General features: G+C 42.0%; 1 protein-coding gene across 3 annotated transcripts in view; it reads right to left on the reverse strand.

Moving 5' to 3' along the window:
- Positions 1-19,193, reverse strand: part of DSCAM (DS cell adhesion molecule) — an 836,160-nt gene that overhangs the window by 517,242 nt on the left and 299,725 nt on the right. The gene's annotated exons all lie outside the window — the stretch shown is intronic.

Raw genomic sequence — 19,193 nt, forward strand, 5'->3', positions numbered from 1 at the left:
TCCTCCTCTGTGTGGCTCAAATAAGGCATAAGAGACACAAAGCGAGATTCATCATATTAACTTAAGGAATAAAGTGGCTTCCTCTGAGAACTTGGCCTCCAGTTCTCATAATATACTATATTATACTCCATTATAGTAATTACTGGCCTGTTATTTTGTTATACATTATTATACATAGAGTGTGTAGAAATGTTTTATAAATAGAATAATGCATAGCCATTGCCCTGAATTTTCTAGAACAGCACTAATTTAAAATATTCCTTCCAGTAAATACTGGATATTGCTCTTCCTTGAGCCAAGAATTTCTTCTACTTCAATCGTCATGTCTGTGACATTTGCTAGCACCATAGTCTCATACTGTTGGTAAATTTTGTACAAGTGCATCTTGTCTTTCTAACTAACTGGTCTATTCCTTAAGGTCACAAGCCTTGAGGGATGGCTTTATACGTCCCTACTCCTCCACTGCCAGGTACTCCATCTGTCCTTTGTTTTTGCTCAGTTGGCCTCAGTAACTCACCTGCTAAGTCATTGTCTCTGCTTTCAGAATCCTAGAGGATAAAAGACAGAGCAGCAGCCAGCGAGGTGAGCAGCAGTCAGAGCCTCCTCATGGACAGGATGAAAGACACATTTTGTCTTTGGCAATGTCCAGGCTTTCCACTTTTTTTTTTTTTTTTTTTTTTTGAGATGGAGTCTCACTCTGTCGCCCAGGCTGGAGTGCAGTGGTGCAATCTCGGCTCACTGCAACCTCTGCCTCCTGGGTTCAATCAATTCTCCTGCCTCAGCCTCCTGAGTAGCTGGGACTACAGGCGCGTGCCACCACCCCCGGCTAATTTTTTTGTATTTTTAGTAGAGATGGGATTTCACTGTATTAGCCAGGATGGTCTCGATCTCCTGACCTCGTGATCCGCCCTCCTCAGCCTCCCAAAATTACAGACATAAGCCACTGCTTCTGGCCTAGGCTTTCCATTTTTAGCCCCTCCTCTTCCTCAAAGCATTCCATGGCACTCCCCTCTGGGAAGTTTCTCCAGTAAGGCAGTGATCACTGTGCTCTCCAGTGCTAAGAGGCGCTGGCATGCATCTGCCATTGGTTTTACATGTTACTATTACAAAACAGGGTGCTGTTTCTTAGTGGCCGTTAAATAGTTTTACCTTTGCACAGGAATCATATTTGCACTATTAGCTTGTGTTTATTAGGAGCAACCTTAACTGCAAAGTCTTGGATCCTTACAATGTGTTTCAAAAGCACATGGACCTCCTTCATAGTTGGTATGGAGCAGATCAAAGGTCTGCATCCCATCCTCAGAGACTCACAGTCCCTTCTGCTTGTCAAAGGATATTGCACCATCATGTCCCTCATATCAGCACCTGCCTGGACCATAATATGATTGGATGAGAAATGTTCAAGGTAAATTTTTAAGTATTTTTAGCTCTTTCCATATAAGAATGTTCCAGACGTGACTTTGAGTTTGGAAGAATGTACATAACCACCTTCAGAACCTCCTTTTCTTTTTAGATGAAATCTCTTTTATTATAAAATATCAGAGAATTAGCATAACTCTTGGCTATCTATCCCTCGGGTATCCCTCTTTCTTTCCTTTCTGCAAGAAAAGCAAAACTAAGAACCTTTATTTACTTAGAAAGTCAGTTACAGGAGGCAATAAAGTTTATGGGAACAGGCTTGTCGTTGCTTATTTCCCATTGACCCCAGCAATACTTTGGAGAAACAATTTCTATGTCACAGATATATTGCTTTAACTCTAAGGGTGCTGTTTATTTCAAGAGATGCCTTAACATGATGAAATAATAAGAACTGAACACCTTATACAATTGCCCTGGGCTCACATCTCAGTTGCTCTCTGCTGTAGCTCCACACTGCCCCCAGAAGTGACTTGTCCAAACCAAGTGCACCATTCCATGGTCATTGTACGACAGACACAAACTCAGTACAAAGAAACACCATTGACTCCTCCTGATTTGGTTTTCTTTTTAGAATAATTTTCTTACCCAGGAACTGAAACTCCATTTATTGTTTAAGTCACATACAGATTTGATAAGCTCTCTTTTCTCAATTTGACTTTTGTTGATAAACAAAACTACAGGTTAAAAAAAGTTTTTAAATATTCACAAAAAATAATTTTCAGCCCTTCAGTTGACTGGTTGTCTACAAGTTGTCTTTTGGGAGCTCTGATAACAGGTGGTGTCTTGAACTGAGTTTACACTGAAAGTAAATGCTCTATCCCATTCTGTGTCATGATAAGACAATTCTGAGCAATTGCATATCCACCCTATAGAAAGACTCAAGTGCTTGGCTAATTTAAAATGACAAATAACCTAAAATAAGTTCTATTTGACATTAAAATGCTCTAAGAAAATATTTTTTCTCATCTATAGAGACAGTTTTCCTCTCACTTGGAAATCCCAGGACACTTCAGAATCCACCTATGGAATACCAAACCACCCTTTCTCCACCCTAAACCCACATTTCCTCAGGCCCCTCCTAGAGCCACAGTTTCCACCACCCACCCCATCGCTCGATAAGGGAGTCACAACATCCTCCCTGTTTTCTTCACTCTGTCCACATCCGTGGTGTCCATCAAAGCTACATGCCTCTTTGCCATAACATCTCTCAGCCCTGCCTGTCCATCCATCCATCCATCCATCCATCCATCCATCCATTCAACCATCCATCCATCCATCCATCCATCCATCCATCCATCCATCCAACCATCCATTCAGGCTTCCCTAGACTCCCCTCGACTGAACTATGTACAAGGAGTGCCCTGCTTCTGGTGTTGGTCAGCCTCGTTCCCACGACTATTTTCCACACCTCAGGCAGAATAAGAGTTTACACTGAAAACGTGATTGTCTCTCTCCAGCTACAATCTCCTTCTTGGCGTCTCGTCAACACCAGCAGAGCCAAAACCACCAAGGCTTGCAGGACATGGTGGTTTACAGTTCCTGCTGGCACCTGCAGCTTGCCTTTTGCCTGGAATCTGCCTCCCTCTCCCCAAGGCTGCTGCCGGTCTCAGGCGCATTATGCACCCTCTGGGATCAGGTTCCCTCTGCTGGGTACACCGTTCCAGCCACCACACCTGTCTCATTCTTCATTCACCCCTGTCTCCGTTTACCTGTCCTTTCTTATAGCCACATGCCCAAGCTCCTGCACGGTCCTTCTCCAGCACCCAGCACACCCCAGGGTCCCACAGTAGCCTTGGGTGTGTTTCCCCTCTGCACTGCAGACTGATGGGCAGGGACCACGTCAGTATTTCCACCACTGGGCCCAGCTCCCGGCTCAGAGAGGCAGCTGCTCAGTGAGCTTGCTCAGGGCAAGGGTGAAGGAAGAACAGAGCAGATTCCAACAGGAAATTCCAACCCAGAGCTCTCAGCTCAGCCTTAAGGAAGGAGGAGAGATGGGCAAAAAGGTTTGGTCCCCATTCCTGAGTGGTTGCATCACAGGTGGGTGGCATGCAGCACATTCCCTGCCATCAAAACACAAATCTTGTCATGGAAAATGCAGGTCTTGCCCCCATTCCTTTCCTTCTTTTGCAGCAGAAATTCAATTAAACTGATAAATCAGCAACCAGTGATATTTGGCAGGTTCTGCATCCAGCATCCCACTCAATGCTCTGCACAGCTGTCTATTGTGGGTGTCACTTTGAAGATGAGGTGCTGGGCTTGGGGAGGACACACAGTGGGTCCAGCGACATGTGGGTGGCCTCAAGTAGGCAGAGCTGGGGTCTGACCACCTCCCAGATTCCAAAGCCTCATCATTTAAGGAGCTGCAATCTGTTCAAAGTAAATATTTTCAAAAGACTCAAGAGTTCTTACTTTTTGCTTTGATACACTCTTCTTTTATGCTCTCACGGCTGCTTAAAAGGTCATACAAATTAAATGGCTTTAAATCAATGTTATGATTTAATACTTTATATAAAAGAGGGTGCTTAAAATACTTTATACAAAGAAATTCCTTTAAAATTCAAACCACTGGGGAAAACAAAAAAAGAACAATGAATCTGAAATACTAATAAATATCAGATAAGACAGTTGCTGACGTCAAGTTAAAAAAATAAATAAAAGATCCATCTTTTTCCTCCTTGCAGATTGATTTCCCTGAACTATTTTGTGACAGAATCACTTCAAGTCTAGGTGTCTGAGATGCCTCACTGAATGAGCAGACAACATGAATGTTCTAGACACATGGAAGGCAAGCAAAAAACAACACATAAATAAGCAAGCATGGGGTATGTGCAGCGGTAATGAAAGCTATAGGGAAACATAAAGGAAAGGTGGTCAGAAATGTCTCATGCAGGTCATGATTTATATGTAGTGTTCAGACAGTTCTTGCCGAGGGCTTTAGCTCAGTGGTCCGGAACAAGAAAGCAAGCAGGGAAAGAAGATCATGGGTGATGGGGGCATGCTGCTGATATAAGATGGCCAAGGGCATCCTGATGAGGGGACATAAGTACAGAGACTCAAAGGAAAGAGCAAGAGAGCCTGGGGTAACCTGGGGGAGAGAGAGCATGGGGTGACCTGGAGAAGAGAGAACTTGGGGTTAGAGAAACCTGCAAATGGAATGGCCCTGGGTAGGACTTTGGCGGGGGTGGTGCTTCAAAACAGCCACAAGGCTCTGTGTGTGTGTGTGTGTGTGTGTGTGTGTGTGTGTGTGTGTGCACACGCACGCGCATGTGCGCATATGTGCTTTTGGGCATTTCACAGGGCCCCAGGGACCACCGTGACAGCCTCAGTGAGGGATGGCACAGTCATCCGAAGCCTGGACAGACGTGGGTTAAAATAAAGTCACTTAATTGAATTAACTTTACAAGTTCAATGGAAAAATGTTTCACTTGCAGTTAGTCAGCAAAAGCAGGGAATCTGAGTGAAAAGGGATTCTGTAGGTCCTAAGATTGTTTCAGGATACTGTAAAGAGAATAAACGCTACCTCATTGTCTTGGCTTAAAAATAATCAAAACTATCCTTACCTCCTGCCAATGTGTGTGATGAATCCAGGCATGTGTGAATGCATGTAAGAATAATTTCCTTTTCATTGCTCTATATATGTACAAAATATTTTGCATATTCCAGGATATATGTGAAAATTGTTTCTTTCTCTGATTTCCTAATTCAAGATCTGATGCACAAAACCAACATATAAGCATTGTTAAAGGAAATGAATCCACCTATCTATTTCCCCATCCAAACATCTATCCATCCATCCACCCATCGTCCATCCATCCGTCCGTCCATCCATCCATCCATCCATCCAACCAGCCATCCATCCATCCATCTGTCCATCCATCCATCCATTCATCCATCCATTCATCCATCCATCCATCCATCCATCCAACCATCCATCCACCTGTCTGTCCATCCATCCATCCATCCATCCAACCCTCCATCCATCTGTCCATCCATCCATCCATCCATTCATCCATCTGTCCATCCATCCATCCATCCATTCATCCATCCATCCATCCACCCACCCACCCACCCATCTATCCATCCATCCACCCATCCATCCATCCATCCATCCTTCCATCTAACCCTCTGTTTTTCTATCTCTTCCTTCCTCCATCTAGGTTTGAAAATGAAGCTTCAAAACCTATTTAGGTGATTGGAACATGTCATCACTCTCAATATTCTAGCTTCTTCAAGTGGTTTCCCTGAAAGGAAATCCATTTGATTTTCTTTTAAATAAATCTTCTGTTACTAATACCTGATGTGCTGCAAGTATGATCTCATTTTAAAATGGCCACATATTTTAAAATTTACTTGATAAATCTGCATCTACTTTATTCCTATGGAATAACAGAATTTTATAAAATAGAAGGTAAAAGCTAAATACCACCATTCTGCATTAAAAGTCAAAATTTAAACAGGCAGCCATATGTTTTTTATTCATTGAAATTAGGATATTCCCAGGTTAGAGTATGTGAAATTTTTTTATGAAAATTGACTTTCATAACTAGAATAGAAAATTTGACCCCAGGTGGCAAAATCAATTCAGATTCCTTTTGACATTTTCTAACCTTGGAATTTCTCTAGGAGTAAAGTAGTTGCATAAAGATTATATTCTTGGATATTAATTATTTCAAGTAGTTTCCACAGGGAAAAAAGTAAATGTCATTTGTGACAGTTCAGAAGCAAGTCAAGGTTTTACTTCCTCTTGTATGTAAGAAAGGGAAAAATAGGAAATTCGACTAGAAAATGTGCACATCTCCAGGGTAGCTGAAGGGAGTCTTCCTGCACAAAGGGTAGACTTGGGGTGATCCATGTGTGTACCCCGCCTTGATGTGGACCTGGAGACTCCACAGGCATGTCCCCAGAACTCTTGCTTCACTCTGCAGGATGATGACATTTATCACCAAGTGTTCATTTTTATGAACATATTTCTTGAGCTCTGCCTTGAAAAACATTCTTTACATTTGAAGAGCAGGTATCTTGCTTGCTATCCAGGGCAATGATATAGAGTGATATATTTTTAAAAAGTAATCTATTATGTTACTCAATAATTTTATGTAAGGTAATTACCCCAAAATAATCTTCTATATTACTTATTTTAATTTAATCTATTATCAATTATCCTCTGATTTAGAAATAAAGTACAGAATGACATCAAATCATGGGCGGTTGTAATGATTTCTCCCAATATTACCTCTGTAATCTCTAAACTTACGTGGTATCATCTAGTAGTGAATAAGAAAAATAGGGGGTTCCAGCTTGGGGCAAGAGGATGGACTTTTCTGATAGACATACCTGGGTCTGACTTGGTTCCCCAAGAGGTGGTCACAGTTAAGACTGTAACCTTTGATACCAAGTCACTAGGTTTTCATGCTGGCTGGCCACCTGCTCCCTATCTGATCTGCATATTTACTTACATTCCCTGTGTCTAAGTATCCTCATTCTTAAAATGGATACAATGACACTCTCTATCTTAAAGGTGTAGGGGAGAATTAAATAAGATAATACATATTTAAAGTCTTAGAACAGTGCTTCATGTGAATAAGCACTAAAAACAAAATGTTCATTTTCTCCTTATTATAACATATAATAACTTGAGCAAATAATTTCCCTAGACTTATATCCTCAACCATAATGTCAGACAAAAATGCAAACAGAGTTAGGGTGTGGTTTAAATGTGATGGCGTGTGTTCAGATCCTGGCAAATGCCTGCCACATTGTATCTCAATAAGCCTTAGTTTCCTTAACTTTCATTCAGCCTTTACCAATCAGGATGTAAGAGTCACAGTGTTTGTCGAAGTTAAAAAATAAATTATCAGCATCATTCCTACTGTAGAGACTCAACTAACTGTAGATATGCAAGCACATTTTTCAAAAATATATTCATCTCATTTCTTAATGTACATTATTAGTTGAGTATCAGATATGTAGCAAGCACTGTGCTACGTGCAGAGGAGACAGGATGGATAAGAGCCAATCCTTGCCCTTGAGAAGCTCAAAGTCAGGTGGGAATGACAGGCAGATAAATACATAACATGCTAAAGGTTGGTGGTTGTGAGACTGTAGAGAGACGCGGCACCTCAGATACACCTAAATGGAGCAAGGTGACCAACTGGTTCAAAGATAGTGAGAGATGTCTAGGTCCAACCACACCTGAAAGTATTTAAAGCAGGACTTTGTCTCCTTGCAAGGTCAACATGGATCATGATTTGGGAGAAAAAAACACCTACTTGGTTGAGAAGTATTTATAGGCAAGAAGCTGGAGGTAAGTGCTGTGGCCAATTCTCAAGGCAAATAAAGAAGCCCCTACAAGGACACCCACTGCAGTGCAGTGTTGAGCCTGAGACGTTACTTTACATCACATCTCTGAATGGTGAACCTCATGCCTTTAATAAACGTAAGTGTCCAACATTCAGCCAGCAAATGTGCGAAAAACAATGAAAGTGGGCATCAGCATGTTCGATTTTATGGTTGGAGAAGAAGCGGAAACTGATTTCCTGTGATGCCGACTGGGACACTGTTAAGGGTTGAGTTGTGACCCCCTAAATTCCTATGTTGAAGTCCTAACCCCAAGAACCTCAGAATATGACCTTATATTTAGAGGTCAGGTCATTACAGAGGTGATGTGAAACCATCTAAGATTCAAAGGTTTTCCAATACTCTACCAATGGATTTTGAAAACCAAAGCTGACCGGTAGAGTCTTTTTTTTTTTTTTTTTTTGAGACGGAGTCTCGCTGTGTCCCCCAGGCTGGAGTGCAGTGGCGCCATCTCGGCTCACTGCAAGCTCCGCCTCCCGGGTTCACGCCATTCTCCTGCCTCAGCCTCCCTAGTAGCTGGGACTACAGGCGCCCACCACCACGCCTGGCTAATTTTTATTTTTTTATTTTTAGTAGAGACAGGGTTTCACCATGTTAGCCAGGATGGTCTCGATCTCCTGACCTCGTGATCCGCCCGCCTTGGCCTCCCAAAGTGCAGGGATTACAGGCGTGAGCCACTGCACCCGGTCCCGGTAGATTCTAATCTAATTCAGGGTGAAGATTTGGTCTTATTAATTTTTGTAAGGACATAATATAACGGCTGACACAGAAATACAGTTTTGGGATGCGTAAAGAGGACACAGAAAATTTTGGCAATGATTTCTGAACTTGATTTAAAGCTCTCGAATTTTAAAAACAAGTCCAGCCGTGACAGCTTTGAAGGCCAGAGGCATGGTGCCTCCTTGTGCATCCCCAGAACAGGACTGCCTCACTTAGGAAATGCCCCTTAATAAATGCTCCTAGAACTGCAAAACACCTAACTTATTCCAAACTTTCCGGATGAAAAGGCAGAGGATTTTCTACTCCCATTTCAGGTCTCAGACTCCAGCTCATGACTTGAGAAACATCTTTTTCTCTCCCTGGCTTTCCAGAACATTCTCATGGGCCACAGAGATACCCATGAAAGTCCCTTAGCATTGAGCACTTTGATTAATTTATTGTTTAACAACTTATCAAACCCTCTTTTCACTGAACAAAGTTCCTGGAGGCCTACTGAAATATCATATCACTCAGTATAATTTATTCAATATGTGGTGAGGAAGGGAGGTAGGTCGAGAGAGAGACAGACAGACAGCAGGCTGATTTATGACATAGATCGGTGCTGCCTTCTCCTCTTGCAAACATGTCCACAAATGGACAGCACTCTTGAGTAACTAAACTCTGAGAAAACTAACATTGTTTATTTGTGACATCTAATGCCTCAAGAAGAAATTACTGGGAGAGAATGCTACCTTTTATAGGAATTATATTCCCCACCCCCACCAAAAAACTCACATGCTTAAGTACTAATCCCTAGTACCTCTGTCCTTATTTGGAAATAGGGTTGTCACAGATGTAATTAAACAAAACAAAATTATAGTAGAGTAGGACGGGTCCTTAATCCTATATGCCTGGTGTCTTTATAAATAGGAGAAATTTGGACACAGACAGACACACAGAGAGAATGCCCTGAGATGATGAAGGCAGAGATGAAATCACCAAACACCAAAGACTCCCAGAAGCTGGGAGAGACCTGGAATTGACTCTCTCTCAGCCTCAGAGGGAACCAGCCCTGCTGACTCCTTGATCTCAGAATTGCAGCCTCCAGAGCTGTAAGACAATACATTTCTGTCACTGGCTGTACTTCCTTACAGCAGCCCCAACAAACCAACGCTTCCCAAGCACCTTTCGCATTATATGAAGTAGTCCTCCTCCTTCCATGTGGTTTTGGAGGGCCCTGAAGTGGGACCCAGGTGGAATTCATCTCTGGATCTCAGAGAGAGCGCTCAATAAATGCTAAGTGGTAGGTGAGTGAGTGAGCAGTGGAGCAAGAGAATGAGTAAAGGGATGGATGTAGTGTTTGTCTGACACAGAGGCAGAGCAGGGGCCACTCAGTTGGGTAAAGGTCTGCTTGACAGCCAAATAATTTGGGGATAGCCTCTCTCCCATCGGTCACTCACTCCTGAGAGCCCTTCTGCCCTCTCCACTCAGAGGTCACGTGTTTGATCAAGAGATGGGGTGTTAGTGCTCCTTCATTTCCAGTTGAAAGAGATGACAGCATCTGTATGAATCCAAAGCTAACCCCGTGCACAGCAGCACGCCAAGCACAGCAGGAAGCTAAGCAGGCCCATCACGCTGTCCTGTAGGACCCGGAGCTGTTGGCTTCAACCAAAATGCGCCACTCCCCCAAGTACTTTCCTCTAACAATCACAAAGCTGTGAAATGTCCAAGTTTTAAATTATTATTGGGAAATATTTCATCTTTTGAAAACAATTCTGGTTTCCCCATTTTGACACCAAGCAGAATTTGGCCCAAAACTAAAAGCGAGCAACTTTTAAGTATGAAATCAAAATTTGCCTTGATATTGTGCTTTCTGTGTTTGCCATACAATGAATTCTGGAGCAATGGTATTATTTTACTTTATTTTAATTTTCTGTTGTGTTTTGTTTTTCTTTCCTCCCAGTGTGGTCCTTGAACCGCCTGCTAATAAAGTCATCAAGGCCGTGGTGTTCAAATCAGATCTTAAGGCCTCTCAGGTAGAATTGCTTGATGAGACTGGGGAACATGGAGCACAAGGGAGGGGAAGGAGGAGAGAAGAAAGACAATGATACATTTCTGCTCTAATTTATTATTCGGGGTCTCAGACACAATGAAGGGCAATACCTAGTTCTCTGGGTTCCGTCTTTCCTTCATGAGGTCAAGTAGTAGAGGATGAAACAGCACAAAGGAAAATCAACTCGTAAAATGAAGAGAAAAACGTGTCCTTTAGAGGATGAAAAGAAACCCAGACAGAGACTTTCATAGAACAAAACTTGGGACTAGGATGGAACCTCGCTGACCACAGCCCAGTGATTACTTAAGGGAGTCCCATGTTTTACAGACAAGCTTTAGGGGTCTCCATGGGACAAGCTTGTGGTTGGGGAGGCCGAGAGGGCCCAGACCCCAGATGTCCACACCGGGTCCACCAGAGCATCGCTGAGATTTGTTAGAAAAATTGGGATTTCCATGGCTGGGCGCGGTGGCTCACGCTGGTAATCCCAGCACTTTGGGAGGCTGAGGCGGGCGGATCACGAGGTCAGGAGATTGAGACCATGGTGCAACGCCGTCGTCTCTACTAAAAATACAAAAAATTAGCCGGGCATGGTGGCAGGCGCCTGTAGTCCCAGCTACTCGGAGAGGCTGAGGCAGGAGAATGGCGTGAACCCGGGAGGCAGAGCTTGCAGTGACCCCAGATTGTGTCACTGCACTCCAGCCTGGGCGACAGAGCGAGACTCCATCTCAAAAAAAAGAAAAAGAAAAAAAAAAGAAAAATTGGGATTTCCAGTGAAATTTTATTTGAGAAAAGGAGTTTATTTCTTAAAAACAAGTGTGAAAGCCTGTTTGCAAACAGAATCAGTGAAATGAAATACAGCTAAAATCACTTATAATCAGGGACAGATCAAGAGCAAGGATGTTTTTTGTTGTTGGTCCTGTGTATCTCTGTTTCTTATAAGATGAGAAGGGATATTATGATGTTATTAATTGAAAAAAAGACAATTCCTGAGATTTTTGAAAAGGGAAAATATGGACCAGATACCTTCATTAAGATGAAAGCATAGTCTCTATATGCAGATAAGACCCAGGGCATTCCTGGTGTGTCTCGTTTTACCTAATGGCTTTATTAACATAAAATCATTTTCCCATGTACTCACAAATATTTTCACGTTTCTATTTTTTCCTAGATGCTATGGAAAAATATGGCCAAAAAACCTGTCCTTACTTGCATAGTACTATAATGTTAGTGTCGATAGCCTTTAGCAGTTTGTTTCTATTGAGTTGCATTATGCATTTGGGGTGCTTTATTTTCACGTATGATCCATCTCCAATATCTTTATTAGAATTAATGAGCTCTTAACACACAATGACTAATTATCAACTGTCATGCTTCTGGGCCGTTCCTCCTACATTTGATGCCCGCTCACCTCCCCTTCGCACACACAACCCAAAAGCAGAAAGCAAAAAAACACTCTATTCATTAATCCATTCACTAAACATTAATTAAGGTCCGTCTAGATTCTGAAGGCAAAAGTTCAGATCAAACAACAATTCCTCTAAGAAGCCTCCATTGATTTCCCAGATAGAACCAATTCCTCTCTCCCCTCCGCTCCCACAGGACTCAGAGATTCTATTTTCACACACAGCGTAATCTCTCTGTCGATGTTAATTACCCACATCTACGTCCCTCCATGCCCCTCCTCACACTGCGCTGTGAATCTCTGGAGGATGAGAAGCAGGTTTTATTTGCTTCCTGTGTTCTAATGTCACTAAATATGGCCTTAATTCTTCCACATTGTAGGAAGCTTAGTGAAGGAGGCAACAAACAAAACTTCCTAGGATATAAGAGCTTTAAAAATATAAATCAGAAAAAGATCGGTAATAAACAAACATGAACAAAAGAGAGGGGGTGCTGCTTAGGCTACTGGGTCCCGCATCTCCTTTGCTTTCTGCCAAAATGCCCTAAAAGAGCTCCCCCATCCCTCCCAGCCTTTCTGTGCAACCCTGATCCCTCTTCGATCAACTTCAATCCGTTTTTAATGCCATTACTCCACCAACAAATATTGAGCCAACCAACTAACAACTGAGAGAAAATATTTTATTAAAAGGAATCCCATATATATTACTTTTAAAGGTTTTTTGTTTGGGGTATTTTTTTTTTAAAGATGGGGTTTCGCTGTGTGGCCCAGGCATGTCTCAAAGTTAATGAGCTCAAGTGATTACCCTGCTTTCATCCTTCTGAGTAGCTGGGACTACAGGTGCATATTACAAAACTAAATGTTATAAATAAAACAATAAAAGTGTTAGAAGAAAATCCAGTTGCATATCAATATAATCTTGATACAGGGGAAGTCTTTTTATACATCAAAATACTAATGAATGTCATTTTACAGGCCATTGTTATTTTTATTTTTGTTCATTTGTTTTCTGCATATTAGATAACATAAAAATTTTCAATAAAAAAGCATTCACATTACTATAACTAGTCCAGAACTTTCTGCAATTGCCTCTATTTCAATACTTATTTTATGCCAGCCTTTAGTAACAGACTATATTTAAATGCTTCTCTGAAACAAGACCTATGTGGAAAGTAAGTTTACAAATAAAATAAAGTGCGTGCTAGTAAGCATCAGATAATACATATTTGAAACACACGAGAATAAACAGCAAAGCTTAAATTTAAGTATTTTAAGAGAAGAATCCTAAACATAATGCTCTTCATAAATAGTTGTCTGTACCATTTATTCTGGTTTAGTTTACTTCATAAATTGAAAGTTATTTCCTTATTAAAAGAATAGAGGCCTTTCTCAGAGTCAAGAATTTTAAAATGTTTAATATATCACATATATGTGTATATTTGTGTGTGTGTGTGGTCTATACACACACATAAATGCATATAAGTGCGTAAGTATATATAAGACCTAAGGTCAACATTTTACAAGTTGTGATGTCATTACATGTATTAAAATGAACTTTAATAAAGTAATAATATTATACTTAAGGAAGAATGATTTTTCAGTATATTGATGTTTAGGAAGACTTGGAAGAAATCCAACCAAATTCAGCAAAATGTATTGCACTGAAAGTAGTAGAAGACAAGTATTTGGAATAAATTTAAATTTCTATTTGTTTTGGACCTGGTAGATGTGGCAACGCCTCTAAAACAAAAGGCATTATTTTGGGATAACTTGCAGTCCTGATGATCAAAAAGAATGTCACTTGCATAGATCAGTGGCTGAAAGCAAAGAAAGAACCAAGCAAAATACACAAAAGAGCATGGAGAAAAAGAAATAGGAACTCAAAGTTTTAACAAAAGAAACTTGTTTTCTGAAAACACATGGCATTTTTGATCCACTTCTTCATTGAGACTATCTGCCTACATGTTCTCTAACTGACTGATTTCAGAAGAAGATTATTCAAAATATATAGAATGTTTCAAAAAATAAATACTCAATCTCAAAAAATGAATGTTCAGTGCTATCTATACATATCGTTGGGAATGACCTATTCAACATGAATTTGAAACTGTAATAAGAGAACATTTTTAGGGGTAACGATGTCACAAGAAACACATTTGGATGCCCAGCATCTACTCTCAAATGTTGTGGAAGTTAGATTAATGGTTTTCAAATTGTTCTAATTGCTCATTGCTATGGACTGAAAGTTTGTGCTCCCCAAAAATTCATATGTTGAAATCCTAACTCCCACTGTGATTGTATTAGGAGGTGGGGCCTTTGGAAGGTAGTGAGGTCGTGAGGGTGGGACCCTCAAGAATTGGATTAGTGCCCTTAGAAAAGACGCAAGAGTTAGCTTATTCTTCAGCTCTGCTCTCTGCCATCTGAGGAGTCAAAGAGAAGGCACTGTCTGGGAAGCAGGAAGCAAGGCTTCCCCAGATGACAGATCTGCTGACAACCTGATCTCAGACTTCCAGCCCCCAAAACAGTGAGGAATAATTGTCTGCTGTTTCTAAGCCACCCAGTCTTTTGAACTTTATGATTGCAACCCAAAATGGGCTAAGGTGCTCATTTTGTCAATAAGGAAATGAAGGCTTGGAGCAAAGTGCTTAAAATCCTAGTTATTAAATATTTGCACCATTAACCAGACTCCAGGTCTTCCTAGTCCAGCATCATGTCACAATATTAGAAACGACCCCAGGAAAGAGCTCCAGGTAGGTGTCCTCTTCTGAATACTGGCCCCTCACCCGGGCCTCTGCGGTGGTGCTGATCACACTGTGTGGCATTTCCCTGAAGACAATATATGCTCCTTGAGATATTTATCTGATTCATTTTTAAGGGGAAACAATCAATGCATTAAATAAAATGTATCTGGCTCATTTCAAAAAAGAATACAGAATACATCTCACATACAAAATATGTTTAAGTATTTAAAATATTTGATAGGCTGGAAAGGTCAGACAAGTAAGATTCCTCTTCCCTCTGACAGTGTGTGTCTAAATGCCATAAATTTTTAAAACCTGATGTATTCACCTCCAACACCCCAAAGGCCTAAACATTTTAGTCCTAGGAAGTCCTGCCATTTCCCTGATTCCAGCAATCAATTATAGGGATGGGGACAAGAAATGTTATGATGGCCACTGGGATCCACCATTTGGCATCCAGGTGGCCTTTAGCTAAGTGATGAAGAGGACATGGGCAGCCAGGTCACAGAGCATTGGCCTCATGACCCAGAACCAGAATCTGGGGTAGGTCATGTCCTATCACAAGCGACCCTCTAGGGGAATGCATTAAGCAGAATGTCAGGTTGAATGGAAATCACACATCCCTTCTTCACACCTTTATTCATACCTCATGGGAAGGGGGAGCCACAGTGAGTCTGTGGAGGAAAGGAATGGGGGGGCAGGGATCCCAAATCTACAAGGGAAACTAAGTCCCAGCTTGAGGAAGCCTCCAAACCCTGTCTACTTGGTATCAGTCTTCCACCTTTACCTCTAAAGGGATATCAAATTAGTACTTCTCATGAGTCTCTGGTCACCTAGCCGCCAAGCATTACTTTAGTAATTTTAGGACTGTCCCCAGGCAACGAAAGTATTAAATGACAACTATTATTATTCATAATCTCCTGTTTAAAAGTTTTATTTCATATAAATTTACATAATTAAAAATATTTGTAAATAAAATATTGCTGCTCTCGGTTGTGTTCATTATTTGTCTCATCTACCTACCCAAGGGGAACACTTCTTTCACTGTTCTTTCAAAAGCTAACTTTTTAACTTTGAAAATGCCTGTTCCATAGACAGTAAGTGCCAAGTTGAACTCTTAGTCAGTGTGAGTTGGGTTTAACCAAGAGGATACCTGGAAGTGAGGGGTGAGCCATCGCACTGGTGAAATTTCCTGCAGCATCAGCAGGAGTCAGGAGGGCAGGGGAGAAGCTTCATAATACAGGCAGGTGGGCTGAAAATAACTCACCATGCAGGGTTCTAGAAATTGAGGAATAAGCCTTGGTCACGGAGTAGAACAGGAATTATGGGAGGCAGTCTATGCAAAGTATATGCAAATCACTTGGAAGAGTCTGTCACATCGGAAACTTCACATGAATAGCAGCTGTACTAAGTTGAGCGGTGTCACCCCAAAATTAAGAAAGTCCTCTGGAACCTCAGAATGTGACCTTATTTGAAAATAGGGTATTTGCAGATGTAATTAGTTAAGGACCTTCAGATGAAATCATCCTGAATTTAGGGTGAGCCCTAAACCCAATAATTAGTGTCTTCGTAAGAAGAGGAGAGGCCACACAGAGACATAGAGAAGAACCCCCTGCGAAGATGAAGGCACAGATTCAAGTGATACGGCCACAAGCCAAGGAATGCTGAAGAATGCCTGGGGCCACCAGAAACTGGAAGAGGCAAAAATAATCCTCCTCTAGAGCTTTCAGAAAGAGCTCGACCCTGCTGACACCTTGATTTTGAACTTCCCACCTCTGGAACTGTGAGAATAATTTTTTTAAGCCACACAGTTTATGTTAATGTGTTATGACAACCCTAGGAAATGTACTTTAGCCATTTTTATTGTTGTTATATATTTATCAATTGAACCTTTCCAAATGAAAATTATCTTTCAATTTGCATTTGATAGTCAAATTGAACTTGCGTCACTTTTTTCCAAATAAGAAAACTGGGTCATGTATTCACTTTTATTTAATTAAAAGTTTCCAAAAAAAAAAAAAGGTAGAATAGGCGCCAGAATTCAAAATTTAGGAACCTATTGTTTATGTTTCTCCAAAATTCATTTGTCGAAATTATAAACCCCAGTAGGTGAGGGTATTAGGAGGTAGGACTTTTGAGAGGTGATTAGGTCATGAGGATGAAGCCCTCAAGAATGAGATTAGTGCCCTTATGAAAAGACATGAGAGCTTGTGTTCTGTCCTTCTGCTCTGTGCCATGTAGGGATACAAGGACACAGTAAGAAGGCCACCATCTGAAAGCCACATGGACATCAGCAGACACAGCATCTACTGGTGCTTTGATTGTGGATGTCCAGCCCCTAAAATTGAGAAATCAATGTCTGTTGTTTAAGCCACCCAGACGATGGTATTCTGTGACAGCAGCCTGAGTTGACCAAGGACCTACAAAATATTTATTAATCTTCACAAATCAGGGAAATCATTTCTGCCCAGACAACCTCCACTGGGGATAGGCAGCCCTGTAATATCCGAAATTTTACATATATTCACTCTTCCAGCACGTTAAACAGCCTCACCTGCAAAGTCCCACTTTTTCTTTCAGTCTGTGCTTTAATAGTTTATAAAAGCCAGAAATGTCATGGGAAACCAGACAGACCACAGAGAAGTCACACAAAGAGGCATGACCTTTGCACCTGCCACTGACTTTCTGGGAACCTCAGTTTCCTCATCTCTAAAACAGGTGTCCTGGGACACTTGGCAGGGGTAAGAATTGTGTGAGATGATGTGTGAAATATGCACACCATCCCAGCACACTGCAGGCATTGAGCTGGCACCAGCAATGGTCTGGCTATGGCTCCGAGCACCAGCCTCCAACACTTACTGAATGAGGGGAGAACAAAGAGTCACCTCAAAAAGTGGCTTCAGCCCCTAGCCCCCTTGTGTGTAGCCCAGCCAGTCTGTCACTGAGAAAACCAGTGACTGGAGTGGCCACGTGTCAAGGGCTTTGGGAACAGAAAGTCAGGTCCAGTCTGGGCTTTCTCTACCAGTGGGAAACCTTGGTGGGTTTCCAGCCTTGGCGAGCCTTTGTTCCCTCCTCCACAAAAGAAGATCCAAATAATCCCTAGTAACCTGGTCGTAATACTTAAATGATGTGATCTGGTACCAGGACCTGGCAGTGCATAGGCACTCATTCTGTCTTCCCTGACAAGACCCCTGCATGAAACTCAGCGGGTACATTCTCCCCTCCTAGGACACAAGCATTTTTAAAGAGGGTTAAGGTGTAGAGAAGTCCTTTTCTTGGGAAAATGATTCACAAGGCATCTATGGGGAGATATTTTCAGTAGGAAGCTGTGCAGGAGAGCTGGGGGTCCACACACTCAGGGTAGCTGTGAGCAGCATTTCCTTGGGTCATGGGGATATGTATCTGGAAAAGGGCCACCGCCCAGTCAGTGACATCTCTGCCAGGGCCTCAGGCAGACTCTGGCCCAAAGCAAACGGCAAAGTGGCCAACAGATCATGGGCTTTGGGTCTGACAGATCTGGATTCAAATAACAGCCACTTCCCTGCCTTTTGACCTTAGGCAAATCATGTAGACTTCTCTGAGCCACCTCAGTTTCCATGTGAGGAGTAGGGGGTGACAATACCTATGCCACCAGCTATGGCTTCGCCCAAGCACAGCTCCTGGCATGGATCTGGCAGTAAATACATGGGGTTTTCCTCCCTAGTCCATGCATGGACCTCAGTGGCCTTTGGTTTGTCAGTTTTTTTATATTCCTTCGAGATGAAGTTCATCCATTTAAAAAAATAAAATACAAATAAGTTTGATTTAGCAAAAATCTGTGGGTGACATTTGCTAAAGTTGGATTTATGTCTCATTTAATATTTATTGGGATTAAGTCACTGCTGGCCTCACCCCAAAACCCATAGAAAAAGAGAAGCTCAGGTCTTTCTAAGGGAAGTCACGTCTTACACTTCCCCTTTTCAGGAGAGGCCTAGTGAGAATGTGGTTTTGCTCCAGGGGCTGGGGCTGGGGTGGGAGCCTGGAGGATCCTTTCTAAAGGCTGATACCCCCCAGTTATTGGGGGCAAGGGGGCTGAGAAGCATTTCTTCTTGAGGCCCATGTCAACCCCATCCAAATCCCCTCATAACATCAAGCAGAGCAACTAAGACAGAGCCAAGAGCAGCCCAACCTTGGTCATGGGGAATCCTCACCGTCCTCTCTGTCCCCAACCCTGTCTATCCTGGGGAAGACAGCCCAGAGGCAGACATGACCCCACTGTCCCCCGGTGTAGACACAATAGCAGCAAGGAAGACAGCCTGCTAACCTTTCTAGAATCCATTTTTCTCCACACTCCCACACCACGGCCTTCCTTTCTTGCTTCTTACACGCCTGCTGTTAGAAAGATCTTAATTCTGGTGACTGAGGGAAACACAAAATGGTGGCTTATAATCAAATCAGCCCAGAAGCCACTCTGCACCCAAACCTATCACCCGGAGGGACGTGAAAGCTAATTCTTCAAAAGCCAAACACAGTCGTCTCCTTTTCC

The sequence above is a fragment of the Homo sapiens genome, chromosome 21 (assembly GCF_000001405.40).
Source record: "Homo sapiens chromosome 21, GRCh38.p14 Primary Assembly".
Taxonomy (NCBI): Eukaryota; Metazoa; Chordata; class Mammalia; order Primates; family Hominidae; genus Homo; species Homo sapiens.